Genomic DNA, 14,440 nt, shown 5'->3' with positions numbered 1-14,440 from the left:
CTGTTTCCTGGGATAGCACTTGCTAATCTAGTTCCATGGCTAGTCCTACCTCCTTGGCCTGCTTTTTTTGTTTCATTTTGTTTTTGTGCTTCACTCTCTTTTGTAAAAACATCCTATTATTGGCCCCAATAAAAATTCTTTATGAATAACTATGAACAGTTGTATATGTACTGAAGTAAATACCTGTAAGTTTTACCAAATGAAATTTTTATATTAATGAAATAATTTATAATAGTAACTTTAATGTTGGGACAAAATCCTCTGTTAAAAAATCTGAAATAGGTGTATGCTGTCTCCAGGTTACCAATCAGTTACATTTTAATATTTCCTTGAAAGTTAGTTAGAACTTAAAACATATTTGTGCTATATAAACAACACATAGTGTTTATATTTTTAGATCCATCCTCAAAGATTTATGTAAACTGGCAGCTTCTGGCCTTCTACTTGTAAAACCACAGATATTCTGAAAGCCCTAATTTTTTAGACCAGGGTTTCCAAACTTTTTTGTTGTACGTACCATTAGTAAACAAATTTTGAGCAAATATCCCTGATTATTTGTAAATTATATATATATAGACTGCATTTCTAGTAATATTTGATGTAAATTATGAGACATACACAACAAAAGAAATTCAAATTGAGGAAGGTAGAGAATAAGTGTAAAACAGAAGCTCTAATTATTTTTCGTTTACCCAATGAATATCTTATATGCCCTGGGGTCTGTATGTGCTGCTTGGAGACCATGATTCAAGCTTCTATCTTTCAGGAAGTTACGGCAAAGGCTTTTGACTTTGAGAGAGTGATAATAGTTTGGGGAAAAGATGTTCAATTTTTTTTGTAAGCCAAAGACTGTATTGTGATAGTGGCAAGAAAGAAATTAATGCTCATAAATTGAGCGTTAAGGTTTTGAAATCTGAACTCATGCTTTTCTAACACCACTCTTCGTTCCTGTGACAAACCTTTACAATAGTGTTCTTTGAAAATATTTCCCTATAAAATATTAAAGATTATGTGGAGGGAGAAAAGCAGATGGTATATATGAGTAAGAGCAAATAATTCTGTTTATTTGGAAGAATAGAGTTTACAAAGGGGAAAGATGAGAGAGTAGAAGTGTAGTTTGAGGTCAGGTCATGGATAATTATGAATGTCAGGCTAAGAATTTTGGTTTTTTTTTTAAGAAATGAGAAAAATCTAAAGGATTTTGGGCAGATAAAAGACATCATTGGAACTGACCTTTCAGAAGATGAATCTGATAGAAACCTGTTAGCGAATGTTTAAAAAGTAATCAAATTACTTTGACCCTTTTCTGTAGCCTGTTTTATTTGAATTCATTCCATGTTTTGTTGAATATTTGTTTCTATTCATCAAAAAAGTTTTTTTTCCAGAATATTGCTTCAATTATACTCTTACATGTTGCAAAAAGTTTAGTCAAGTACAGGTCACCTAATATAGGTCACCTAATACAGATGGTTCTTACCATGTTTTGAGTTGTGGGATTTATAATAGATATGGTTCTTGATTTCAAGTGTTTCAAAACACCTATCCTAAGGAGACTTCAGTCACAGTGTGTAGACTATAACTGAAGGCTAACATATAAAACACTGAATAAATAAGAACTGACACTTACTCAGTTTTTGCTATTTGCTACTCTAATGCTTTACGTGATTTAAGTCGCTTATTAAGTAATCCTAACAATATGGATTTAGAAAATGACTTAGCTGCCAAGTGGCAGAGTGAGGATTCAAACTCTGAGCCAGTGTTTTTAATTCTCAGCCACATTTCTCATAGTATGCTACCTTGTGGCCAAAGGAATTTTTAAAAGGGAGAGACCAGTGAATATTTACAGATACTCATTGAAGTCTTTGTGGAGGTAGGGAGAGACTAAGCTGTGTCCTGGTGAAAGGGGAGCTGTGCTTTTCACTTTTGTTGGGACAAATGATTGAGAAAGGATTCCAGCCTGAAGAAACAGTAAGTGCAAAAGCACAGAGATGAGAATTAGTGCATAATTTGAGAATGATTTATGATGAGAGTTTGTTTTGGAAAGTAGTAGGAAATAAAGTTGGGTAAGTAATGATAATACCTCAATTTATGGAACACTTTACTTGTATTAACTGATTTAATCCTCACAATAACCCTTTGAAAAGGATAGTATTATTTCTCCATACAGGGAGCTTTTATGACTTTCCCAGTTTCATGCGGTAATTACAGAGCCAAGAACACAGACATTCTGGAGCTGGAGCCATAACCCCTTGCCACTCAACTCTATTGTCAGAGAACAAAGGCAGCTAAGTAGATTGGGAGGCTAGCCAGAAGTTTAAAATTGATCCTGAGAATAAATTCTTGTGTAGGAGAGTTCTCCTGAAAGTGACATTTTTGGAAAATAAAAGTGGTAGTTGTATGTTGCTTGATCTGGGGAGAGGCTCAAACAATGGTTCTCAGCCATAGTTGTATATTAGATTTACCTAGAGAGGCTCTAAAAAATAAATACTGATGCCCTCAGATACCAGTCCAGACCAACTAAATCAAAATAATTTTGGGTAGCTCTGAGCATTGCTCTTGGAAAAGCTTCTCAGGTCTAACATCCATACTACTGGTCTAGGGAGCCAAAAATCAGCCAAGATCTTTCTGAGGTAATTCAGGTCTGAGATGATGAGTCAGAACTGAGGTCTTGAAAACACCACAAAACTAGAATTTTTTGAGATGGAACAAATCTCGTAAATCTTAATGTCCAGCCTACTTCTGCAATTCCCCAGTGTAAGAGCTTCTAAAAGTCTCTTGAATTAGGGATTATCTGTGCTATAACAAATTAGCGTAGATTGGGTGGCTTGGAAAAAAAAAAAAGCATTTATTTCTCACAGTTCTGGAGTCCGAGAAGCCCAAGATGAAGGTACCAGCAGAGCTGGTAGCTGGTGAAGGCCTGCTTCCTGGTTTGCAGAGGGCTGTCTTCTGGTTGTATCTTCATGTGGCAAAGAACAGAGGGGAAAAAAGCAGGTTCTCCTGATGTGTTTTTTTTTTTTTTTTTTTTTTTCTGAGACGGAGTCGTGCTCTGTCGCAGGCTGGAGTGCAGTGGTACAATCTCGGCTCACTGCAACCTCCGCCTCCGGGGTTCAAGCGATTCCCCTGCCTCAGCCTCCTGAGTAGCTGGGACTACAGGCACGTGCCACCACACCTGGCTAATTTTTTGTATTTTAGTAGACACGGGGTTTCACCATGTTGGCCACGATGGTCTCGATCTCCCGACCTTGTGATCTGCCTGCCTCGGCTTCCCAAAGTGCTGGGATTACAGGTGTGAGCCACTGCGCCCAGCCCTCCTGATGTTTTCTTATATGAACACTAGCACATCATAAGGGGTTATCATCTGATGACCTCCCAACACCCCCTCCTTAATACCATCACATTGGGGTTTAGGATTTCAACATATAAACTTGGCGGGGACACCGACATGAGGTTCATAGCAAGGAGGCTTTCAGTTTATCATCAAGGAAAATCCAAACTGCAGTCAAACCACAGTCCTCAATTATAACATTTCTATGTTATATTGGACTATTAAATGTGGAAAACATTTCTGTATGTCTGTTATTTATATTACTGGTTAAATGATGAGCATTTGGGTTCAGTTAAAATTTAATTTCATAGGATATGAAACATCCAACTTGCTGATTGTGATATGACAAGTAATTCCAAAAGTTATTTTGGAGAAATAAAAATGTAAGGAAATATGTTTTGTAGCATCCATATTTTTAATTAATGTGTTTTACATATTAATGATGTGGCTTGAGTTTTGGAAGTATTTTACCTATATTCTTAGTTCAGTTTAGCTTTTGTTGTCTCTTTTCTTCCAATAGAGGGCACTCTGATTCAGTAATTTCAAATACAAAACCAGCCATCTTATGTAAGAACTTTTATTTTTGAATCGGAGATTTTTGTTTCTATTAAAATATTAGCTATAATATGGTAGTTTGAACACTTTTACTAATATAAGTTAAAAATTAAATTCTTATTATGATTGAATGTATTCAATTGGAGGTTTTGCATGTAATATAAAGGCTAGCTCAAGTTAAAATTGCATTTTGTCTTGCATACATTTTAATTCAAAAGTCAGTCTGTTTTATATACTCTTATAATATGCATCTGAAACCATTTTCTAAGTTGAATTAGGACATTATATAATCTAGAATGTAAATTTTGAAGAAATATAAATATCCTAACATTCTTTACCAACTCATGAAATTTAGGTTTTCGAAAGAATGTGAAATCATCTGAAAAAATTTTCTATTCTCTTTATGTTTTCCCAAGCCTTATATTCATGTTTTTTCCTCCATGTGTATAAACAATCTATACAATTCTTAAATGTGAACACAGCATGCCATAGAGAAATTTGATGATAAAGATCATTAGAGCAGATTTCAGAATCCAGGTACCAGGAAAAGTTTTTTTGTTTTTTTTTTAAACATTTGTAATAGAACATTACCTCATCAGCGTATGTCTTTAAGAAGTAAATAAGAAGCTTAAGGGATGAAACGTGTTATGTATTTTTTTCTCTTGACACAAGCAGCATCTAAAGCTTTTGGTTTGAAAGGGGTTGCATTGGCAGGTTTTGTGCAATTTTGTTCAGCAACTATGCCTCTTTTCTGTTATTTTACTTTCTTTTCCAATGCAAAATATTTAATTACATGTCAGCCTTCTGAAGTGTGAGGTATTTTATTTTAGTATTTTAAGATTTCAAGATTTACCTTGAAGGATTTTCAGTTTTTTTTAATGCCAAGCTATTCTTGAGAATACTCTCTGGGAGTGAGGTCCCTACTTTTGGAAAATATACTTAATTTAGTTCTAAAATTCATCAAGTTTTAAAGATCAGTAGAGTCAGATTAGATTGCCTAAAAACCAAATGGTGTTTCTGAAACAAAGTTTACCTTCAAACACATTCTAACCCAATTTCTAGAGCTTATTATCAGGAATGCATCAATTTCAGAATTTGGAGAGAGCTTCGTGGCTATCTTACCCAATTTCCATCAGATTTAGAGAATCTTGGGAGGCAAATTTTTTGAAATGTAAATAGAGGCTTATTATAGGAACATAACTGATTCTTTAGCATGTATAATTTTTTATAGTGGTGCTAAATCTTAAGCAGTGGTATACAATGTTCAAAAGAACATTCTAACCTGAACAATCTATTTCTTATGTAGTTGAACAGACCTTTTGGATGTGGTGACTCAAGGTGATTCAACTAAGGTTGGAAATCTCCTAACAGGTTTTGCAAGAATTAGGGAATGTAGAACTAGGATCATGTTGACCTGCATTTATATATTGAAAACAATACCATTAACCACACGTATGTACTGTAGGTACATTAATGGAAAAATCCAGAATCAGAAGGGTAAGTTTTTGTTCCTACCCTCACCTCAGGAAGAACTTTTTGTAACCTTAGGGAATCTAGGAAGTCCTTGAGAAAATGGCTAGTAGAATAAAAGAGTCATTTTTCTGAACTTCTAGCACACTTGCTTTTTACCATTCTTGATACATCTCTTTCTGCCTTGCCTTGTAGGTGTATATGTTTTGCATTACTTCTTATATACCCCTTTGACAGTAGGTTCATTATTAGATTGATCTCTGTAGTCACATCCTGCCTCACACGGTGCCTTGAATGTAGTGGTCTCTCAGTGAAAGTTCATTGACTGAATAAATGCATAAAAAGGCAAAGACTGCATATAAAAGTGTATATGTTCTTGCAAATGAACCATTATCATTGCAAAATGCATTTAATTATTTGGAGATGAATTCCAGAGACCAAAGTGGAGGTTTTTCCCAGCAATCATGATGGGAATCTCAACCATCTTTCTTAGGGAGATAACTTAGTCTAGCAGTTAAGAGCATGAGATTGTGAGTCCTACAGATTTGGTTGTACAACTCTGTTCTGCAATTTACTAGCAGGGTGACCTTTGGAAGTTGCTTGATATTTCCAAGCCTTAGTTTCTGCATCGGTTAAAAAAATTTTACTCTGGCTTTCTGTCAGCCATAGAAAAGAGCTATTTTGTTCTCTTTTATGTTGCTGAAGAGATCTTGATTTTTATGTTTCACAGACTTTGTCCAATTTTGTCCAGACGTTCTAAATAGTCACAAAATGTCAACGTAGAGGGGATTTCTCTAGTGAAAGTGAAATATTTTGTTCTTGGATTGGTCTGAGTCAATATTTTACTTGGAAAAAGCCATATGTATTCTAATCAGCTTTGTAGAAGTTAGGGAGGAATAGCAAATATGACAAATAATTGAACTTATATGAAAAATTATCTCAATAGGCTGAAATCTTGGCTCAAGGTAAAAACATAGAATTCAGTGGGAGTTAGTATAAAATCTTATATTTAGATTCCTTAAAAATCAATGGTATAAATACAAGGTGGGGGAGATTTAATGTCAGAGAGTAGTTCACACAAAAGTTTTAGGGTATATAGATGACTACAACTGCTACGTGAACCAGCAGTGAGATGTAGCTACTAAAAAAATCAGTAAACAGTGACCAAACTATAATATCTCAAAATAATTGTAACACTAGAAGCTAGCATTTATTAAGTACTAAATTTTCACTACATGCTAGGCATTGTGTAAACATGTTAAAAATCATTATCTCCTTTATTCCTGACAACAATCCCATGAGGTAGGTTTTATTATCCTCAACGTGGGAATCAGGAGTAAAGTCAGTTGCCCAAAAGGTAAATCTTGGATCTGAATGTATGTCCAATGTCTTACAAGTAGATCATTCTGTCTTTCATTACTGTCTTCCAGATTGACCTCTCACCTTTTCATCATTCCTGCCAGTTTGTGGGTTCAGACCATCATTTCCCCTCACCTGAGTTATTTCAAGAGCCTCCTACCCTGTCCACCCACTTCTAGTCTCTCCTCTTCATCTGCTCATATTTATTCTGAGCAATGCTGCCAAGTCAGTATGCCTTAAGTGCCATTCTGGTCATGTCATTTTCCTACTCAAAACTAGCCCTGGTCCTCACTGCAAATGTTAAATAGAAACGTTTAACTCAGGCATTCAAGACCCTTCATTTCTAGCTTCATCATATTTTTCCAGCTTTATCTGCTAGTAATGTCTTAGATAAATATATTTTAGTAAAATGGATTATTCTTGGCCAGGCACGGTGGTGCATGCCTGTAATCTCAGCACTTTGGGAGGCTGAGACTGGAGGATCACCTGAGGTCGGGAGTTAGAGACCAGCCTGGCCAACATGGTGAAACTCCATCTTTACTAAAAATACAAAAACTAGCTGGGCCTGGTGGTGTGCACCTGTCATCCCAGCTACTCAGGAGGCTGAGGCAGGAGAATCACTTGAACCCGGGAGGTGGAGGTTGCAGTGAGCCAAGATAGCTCCACTGCACTCCAGCCTGGATGACAAGAGTGAAACTCTGTCTCTAAATAAATAAATAAAATGGATTACTCTCAAACACGTCTGTCTTTCTTATTGTCCACGTTCATGTTTTGTCTATATATATTATCCCTACCATCTCTACTTATTGAAAACTATTTTTGATCCTTCTATTTAGATCTAACTATTTGCATCATTATGCTGCTTTGTATTAATTATGCATGAATCATCTTTTTTGACTTTGCCTATAAGCTCCTTGAAGACAGGGAAAATATTAATCTGTGTGTGTGCATGTATTTGTCCTTAGCATAGTTCCTCACTCACATGCTTAGCAAACATTTATTGAATTGATAGAACAGGTCATGGGCATAAAAACATCTGTTTGATAACCTGTATTTCGGTGTAGGCATATGAGAAAAATTCTAACATGGAATATTTATGATCTGAGAAGAACTTCCCCTGTTGGGTGATTTTTCAAATAATGAATACCTCGCCAGTTTCTTTGAGGATGAAATAAAATACCCCTGTAAACTATATTATTGACTTCACAATATATCGCTAGGATCTTAAGTCAAATTATATTTTTCTTAGGTAATAGTACATCACTCTCACTGATGAGAAGGATATCCTGTATTACAAATACCATGTTTAATTCCTGATAACATATACGAAGGAAGTATATAGTATATGAATATAGGAAATATGTCTGATTACATTATTAATTTTTGAATTCCTAAATATTTATGTGATAAACATTTTTGAATTAATCCTTGTTATTCTTTCTGTATTATTGAGATGGGGCTATTTTGTTTTTTTTTTTCCAGCTTTTATTTTAGGTTCAGTGAGGTACATATGCAGGTTTGTTACATGGGTAAACTGTGTGTCACTGGGATTTGGTGTACAAATGATTTATTCTCCCAGGTAATGAGCATAGTACCCAATATGTAGCTTTTTGATCCTTACTCTCCTCCCGTGCTACACCCGCAAGTAAGCCCCATTGTCTGTAGTTCCCCTCTTTGTGTCCATGTGTGTTTCCATGTGTATTCAGTGTTTAACTCACACTTACGAGTAAGAACAAGTGGTATTTGGTTATCTGTTCCTGTGTTAATTTGCTTAGGATAATGGCCTCCACCTGCATCCATGTTGCTGCAAAGGACACAGTTTTATTCTTTTTTATGGCTGCATAGTATCCCATGGTGTATATGTGCCACGTTTTCTTTATCTAGTCCACCGTTGATGGATATCTAGATTGATTCCATGTCTTTGCTGTTGTGAAAAGTGCTGCAATGAGCATACGTGGATGTGTCTTAATGGTAGAATGATTTGTGTTCCTGTGGTCATACACCCAGTAATGGGATTGCTGGGTCAAATGGTAGTTCTGTTTTAAGTTCATTGAGAAGTCTCCAAACTATTTCTATAGTAGCTGAATTAACTGACATTCCCACAAATAGTGTTTAAGCGATCCCTTTTCTACACAACCTCACCAACATCTGTTTTTTTTTTAACTTTTTAATAATAGTCATTGTGACAGGTGTGAGATTGCATTCAATGGTTTTGATTTGCACTTCTCTAATGATTAGTAATGTTGAGGATTTTTTTCACATACTTATTAACTGCATGTATATCTTCTTTTCATGTCCTTTACCCATTTTTTAATGGGGTTGTTTTTTGCTTGTTGACTTTTTAAGTTCCTTATAGATTCTGGATATTAGACCTTTGTCAGATGCATGGATTGTGAATATTTTCTACCATTCTGTAAGTTGTCTGTTTACTGTGTTTATAGTTTCTTTTTCTGTGCAGAAGGTTTTAAGTCAATTTTTGTTTTTGTTGCAATTGCTCTTGAAGTCTTTATCATGAAATCTTTGCCCAGACCTATGTCCAGAATGGTGTTTTCTAGGTTTCATTCTAAGATTCTTAGAGTTTGAGGTCTTACATCTAAATCTTTAATCTATCTTTTCTTAATTGTTGTGTATGATGAAAGGTAAGGGTCCAGTTTCATTCTGCGTATGGCTAGCCAGGTATCCCAGCACTATTTATTGAATAGCTTGTCCTTTCCCCATTGTTTATTTTTGTGGAAGATTAGATGGTTGTAGTTGTGTGGCTTTATTTCTGAGTTCTCTATTCTGTTCCTTTGTTCTATGTTTCTGTTTTTGTACCAGTACCATGAAGTATTTGTTATTGTAGCTGTATAGTATAGTTGGAAGTTGGGAAATGTGATGCCTCTGGCTTCATTCTTTTAGGATTACTTTGGCTATTCGAGCTTGTTTTTGATTCCATGTGAATTTTAGAATAGTTTTTTTCTAATTGTGTGAAAAATGATATTGGTACTTTAATAAGAATACATTCAATCTGTAGATTGCTTTGGGTAGTGTGGACATTTTATTGATATTGATTCTTCCAGCCCATGAACATGGCATGTTTTTCCATTTCTTTGTATCATCTCTGATTTCTTTGAACAGTGGGTTTTGTAGTTCTCATTGTAGAGATCTTTCACCTCCCTGGTTAGCTGTATTCCTTGGTATTTCGTTTTTTGTGTGTTTATTGTAAATGGGATTGCATTCTTACTGTGGTTCTCAGATTGAATGTTATTGATGTATAGAAATTATAATGATCTTCATATATAGATTTTATGTTCTGAAAATGTGCTGAAGTCATTTATAAGTTTCAACAGCTTTTTGTTGGAGTTTAGGGTTTTCTAGGCATAGAATCGTATCATTAGTGAAGACAGATAGTTTGAATTTTTGTTTTCCATTTGGATGCCTTTTATTTATTCCTCTTGCATGATGGCTCCAGCTAGGACTTTCAGTACTATGTTATATATGAGTGGTGAGAGTAGCCATACTTGTCTTGTTCTAGTCCTTAAGGAAAATGCTTCTAGTTTTTGCCCATTTATTATAATGTTGGCTGTGAGTTTGTCATAGATGGCTTTTATTATTTTGAGTTGTGTTTCTTTGATGCCTAATTTGTTGAAGGTTTTTATCATGAAGGGATGTTGGATTTTATTGAAGGTATCTTTATTGCATCTATTGAGATGATCATATTGATTTTGCTTTTAAATCTGCTTATGTGGTAAATCCCATTTATTGGTTTGTATATGTTTAATCAACCCTGTATCCCAGGGAGAAAGCCTCCTTCATCGTCGTAAGTTTTTGATGCACTACTGCTTTTAGTTTGTTTGCTGAGGATATTTGCTTCTCTGTTCATCAGGTATATTGGCCTGTAGTTTTCTTTTGTGTGTGTGTGTGTGTGTCTTTGCCAGGTTTTGATATTAGGATGATGGCGGCTTCATGAGTTAGGGAGGAGTTCATTCTCCTCAATTTTTTGGAATAGTTTCAGCAGAATTAATACCAGCTCTTCTTTGTATGTCTGGTAGAATTCAGCTGTAAATCCTTCTGGTCCAGGGTTTTTTTTTTTTTTTTTTGGTTGTTAGGCTTTTTATTACTGATTCCATTTCGGAATTCATTATTGGTCTATTCAGGGTTTCAATGTCTTCCTGATTTAACCCTGGGATATGGTGTATTTCCAGGAATTTATCTACTTCCTCTAGATTTTCTAGTTTGTATATATATGGTGTTCATCATAGTCTCTGAGGGTTTTTTTTGTATTTCGGTGGGATTGGTTTTAATGTCACCTTTGCCATTTCTGATTGTGCTTATTTGGATATTGTCTCTTCTTTCTTTGTTAATGTAGCTGCCAGCCTATTGATCTTATTTATCCTTTCATGCCAACTTTTGGTTTTATAGATTTTTTTGTATGAATTTTTGGGTCTTAATTTCATTCACTTCTGCACTGATTTTATTTTATTTTATTTATTTCTTTTCTTCTGATTTGTTCTTGTTTTTCTAGTTCCTCTGGGTGTGATGTTAGATTATTAATTTGAGATCTTTAAAAATTTTTTGAGGTAGGCATTTAGCACTATAGACTTTCCTCTTAACATTGCTTCTGCTGCATCTCAGAGATTTTGGTATGTTACGTCTGTTTTAGTTTATTTCAAAGATTTTTTTGATATCTGCCTTAATTTCATTGCGTACCCAAAACTCATTCAGTAGCAAGTTGTTTAGTTTTCATGAAATTGAAAAGATTTGAGGGATGGTTTTGAGATATGTTTATGGCATTGATTTCTATTTTTATTCCACTGTGGTCCAAAAATATGGTTGGTATGGTTTTGATTTTTTTGAATTTATTGAGACTCGCTTTATGGCTGAGCATGTCATCAATCTTTGAGTATGTTCCCTGTGCAGGTGATAAGAATGTATATTTGGTGGTTGATGACATCCTGTTTTTTTCTAATTGTTAATGATTCTTGCACATTTTTATGGACTTCACTGATGCACAGTATTTCATTGTGCATGTGCTTAAAATGTGTTTGATGTTAAAATATGCATCTATATTATGAGCATTCTATTAAGGGCAGTAAACTTCCTTTCTAAAATATTTTAATTTTTATGTTTTGAACTTTATGACATTTGTGAGGTTACCATTTTTATATACTCTTCAGATATATTATTGGCCAGTTTTTGTTTTGATACTTTTGTTCTTTCTAATCTCTTTATAATCTCTAACTTGAATTAAACTTTCTAGTAGAAGAACTCAGCTGTTAGAATTTTCCTGAGAATCTGTACTTTACACTTATGAGCTAATTGTAATGTTTTCCTGAAAATGTAGTAATAATTCACCTTTCTTTTAACCTCACATTCTGGATAATGATGAAGTTAACTTTTAGTCACTTTTCACATTTACCTTGTTCATTTGTCATAGTGTACCTAATTTGTAATTCTATTTCAAGGTTTACATTTGGGAGTTCTTGGCTCTCTTTTTGAGTGAAGACCTTGGACAGCTTGCCAGTATTTAAAAAAATCCATTTTGCTGCCTAATGCCAAAGGAAATCAGGCGAGAGCCTGAGCTTAAAGAGACATGGCAGTTGCAATAATCACTTAACTCTGTGTCCGAGGAAATGCTTTTCACCTTGAAGAGCAAATTAATTCTGATGGAATAGTAGACTAGTAACCCAGAAAAAATTGCTGAAATTGCTCATGCTTCAACATATTTTATCAGGAGACCATTTGGGCCACAACTAAAGAATATTGGAATTCATTCAGCCTCTAACAGCTGAAGAATTGGGATTCTCTATGATAGAATCAGAATCAATAATCGTAAGTAAAAGATACAGTGTGGCCTGCTTCAATCTCAGGCTTAGATTTTTAAAACTGATGTTATTTTCACATGGCTTTGCCAGAATTCTTGCATCTGCCATCTATGCTTTTTAAAGCTGAAAAGTTGTGTTTGTTTACAGTTTCCTAACAGTTCCATTTAGGTGATAGCTGCCAGTCTGTGCTATCAAATCATTAATAATGAGAAGCAAAGTCTTAATTTGGAGAAAGAATGCTTAGTCAAGGGAATAAATCCGACAGGAAATAAAGACTTTAAAATGAACAAAGAAAATGAACTAGTGAGAAGCGGGATCATTAAAGTGAAAATTGCCTGCCCTCAGAATAAATGAGACAAAAATTGACATGTTATATCTTTTCCTATAATCTATTCTTTGTTACTGAAATAAATCCATTCCAGCTTTGAAAGATTTCCTTTTGCCCTTGAATCTCTAATCCTAGTTTTACCTAGCCTGGTGCCCCTTTCTCAAACATTAAAGTGTTTTTACTGTCATAGTAATTATCATCCTCACTAACTTACATTAAAGAGTCCTTGCATTAAAGAATTACACTAATTTCTTCAATAACATATTTTTGTATTGTATGTGACATTATAGGGTAGAGAACAGGAATTTGAGTTCAAAAGACTTGTGTTTGAATTCCAGTTCTACTCCATAGGTAGATATTTCACTGATCTTTAGATTTCTCATCTGAAAAATGGTAACAATAGTAATAGTAATAGTATCTTGCAGGTATTATTTCCCTGGTAAATATTTCCCTGATGTTTAGATTTTTTTAATATGAAAAATGGTAGCAATAAGAATAATAGTACCTTGCAGGATTGTTGTGAGGATAGAGGTGATAAGTATGGAGTACCTAACACAGTGCTCACCACAGATTACACACTAAACGAATGGTAGCCTGTCATTTCTATTTTATTTGTTGAATCATTTATATGTATTTTTCTCTGTATCACTGAAAGGTTACCCCATAATTATAGCTAACCTTCCCATTTTGTCTTAGTCTCTCACTGTTTCCTATTGAAGTATACTTTGTGTAAAAAGTATTTAGCAGTGTGTTGGACACACAGAAGGTGTCAAACCAATGTTTTTGTTCCTTTCTTTGCAATCAGTCTCTCTTAATTCTAACCCACACCTATATTATACTGCCAGATGAGACTTTCTGAAATGGAGTTTGTATTTCATGACTTCACGGTCAAAAATCAATGAGAGCCTTACTTTTTTTACGTCTATTTTAAGTTCAGGGTTACATGTGCAGGTTTGTTACATAGATAAACTTGTGCCATGGGGGTTTGTTGTATAGATTATTTCATAACTCAGCTATTAGTCTAGTACCCATTGGTTGTTTTTCCCAATACTCTCCCTTCTCCCACCCACAACCCTTCAGTAGACCCCAGTGTGTGCTGTTCTCTATTTGTCTGTGTGTTCTCATCACTTAGCTCCCACTTACAAGTGAGAATATGTGGTATTTGGTTTTCTGTTCCTGCATTAGCTTGCTAAAGATAATGGCCTCAGATTCATCCATGTTCCTGGAAAGGGCATGATCTCATTCTTTTTTATGGTGGCATAGTATTCCAGTATATATATATGCACCACATATTCTTTATTCAGTCCATCACTGATAGGCATTTAGGTTGATTCCATCTCTTTGCTATTGTGAATAGTGCTGTAATGAACATATGTGTGCATTCGTCTTTATAATAGAATGATTTTTATTCCATTGGGTATATACCCAGTAATGGGATTGCTGTGTTGAATGGTATTTCTGTCTTTAGATCTTTGAGGAATCACCGTACTGTCTTCTATAATGGTTGAACTAATTTACACTCCCACCAACAGTGTATAAACATTGCTTTTTTTTCCATAACCTTGCCAGCGTCTGTTATGTTTTTTACATTTTAATAGC

General features: G+C 34.8%; 1 protein-coding gene across 19 annotated transcripts in view; it reads left to right on the top strand.

Annotated features, from left to right (window-relative positions):
* Positions 1 to 14,440, top strand: part of ANKS1B (ankyrin repeat and sterile alpha motif domain containing 1B) — a 1,250,151-nt gene that overhangs the window by 213,083 nt on the left and 1,022,628 nt on the right. Inside the window, exon 1 of one of the 19 annotated variants that reach the window (XM_024449061.2) lies at positions 11,928 to 12,520. The exons of the other annotated variants lie outside the window; for them this stretch is intronic. Within the exon in view, the coding sequence (XP_024304829.1) occupies positions 12,497 to 12,520 (24 nt within the window). The 5' untranslated portion in view covers positions 11,928 to 12,496. Of the gene's footprint in view, positions 1 to 11,927; positions 12,521 to 14,440 lie in introns of those variants that run through there. 19 annotated transcript variants of the gene reach the window in all.

This window comes from Homo sapiens, chromosome 12 (assembly GCF_000001405.40).
Source record: "Homo sapiens chromosome 12, GRCh38.p14 Primary Assembly".
Lineage (NCBI taxonomy): Eukaryota > Metazoa > Chordata > Mammalia > Primates > Hominidae > Homo > Homo sapiens.
This window is presented reverse-complemented; position numbering and strand designations above follow the sequence as displayed.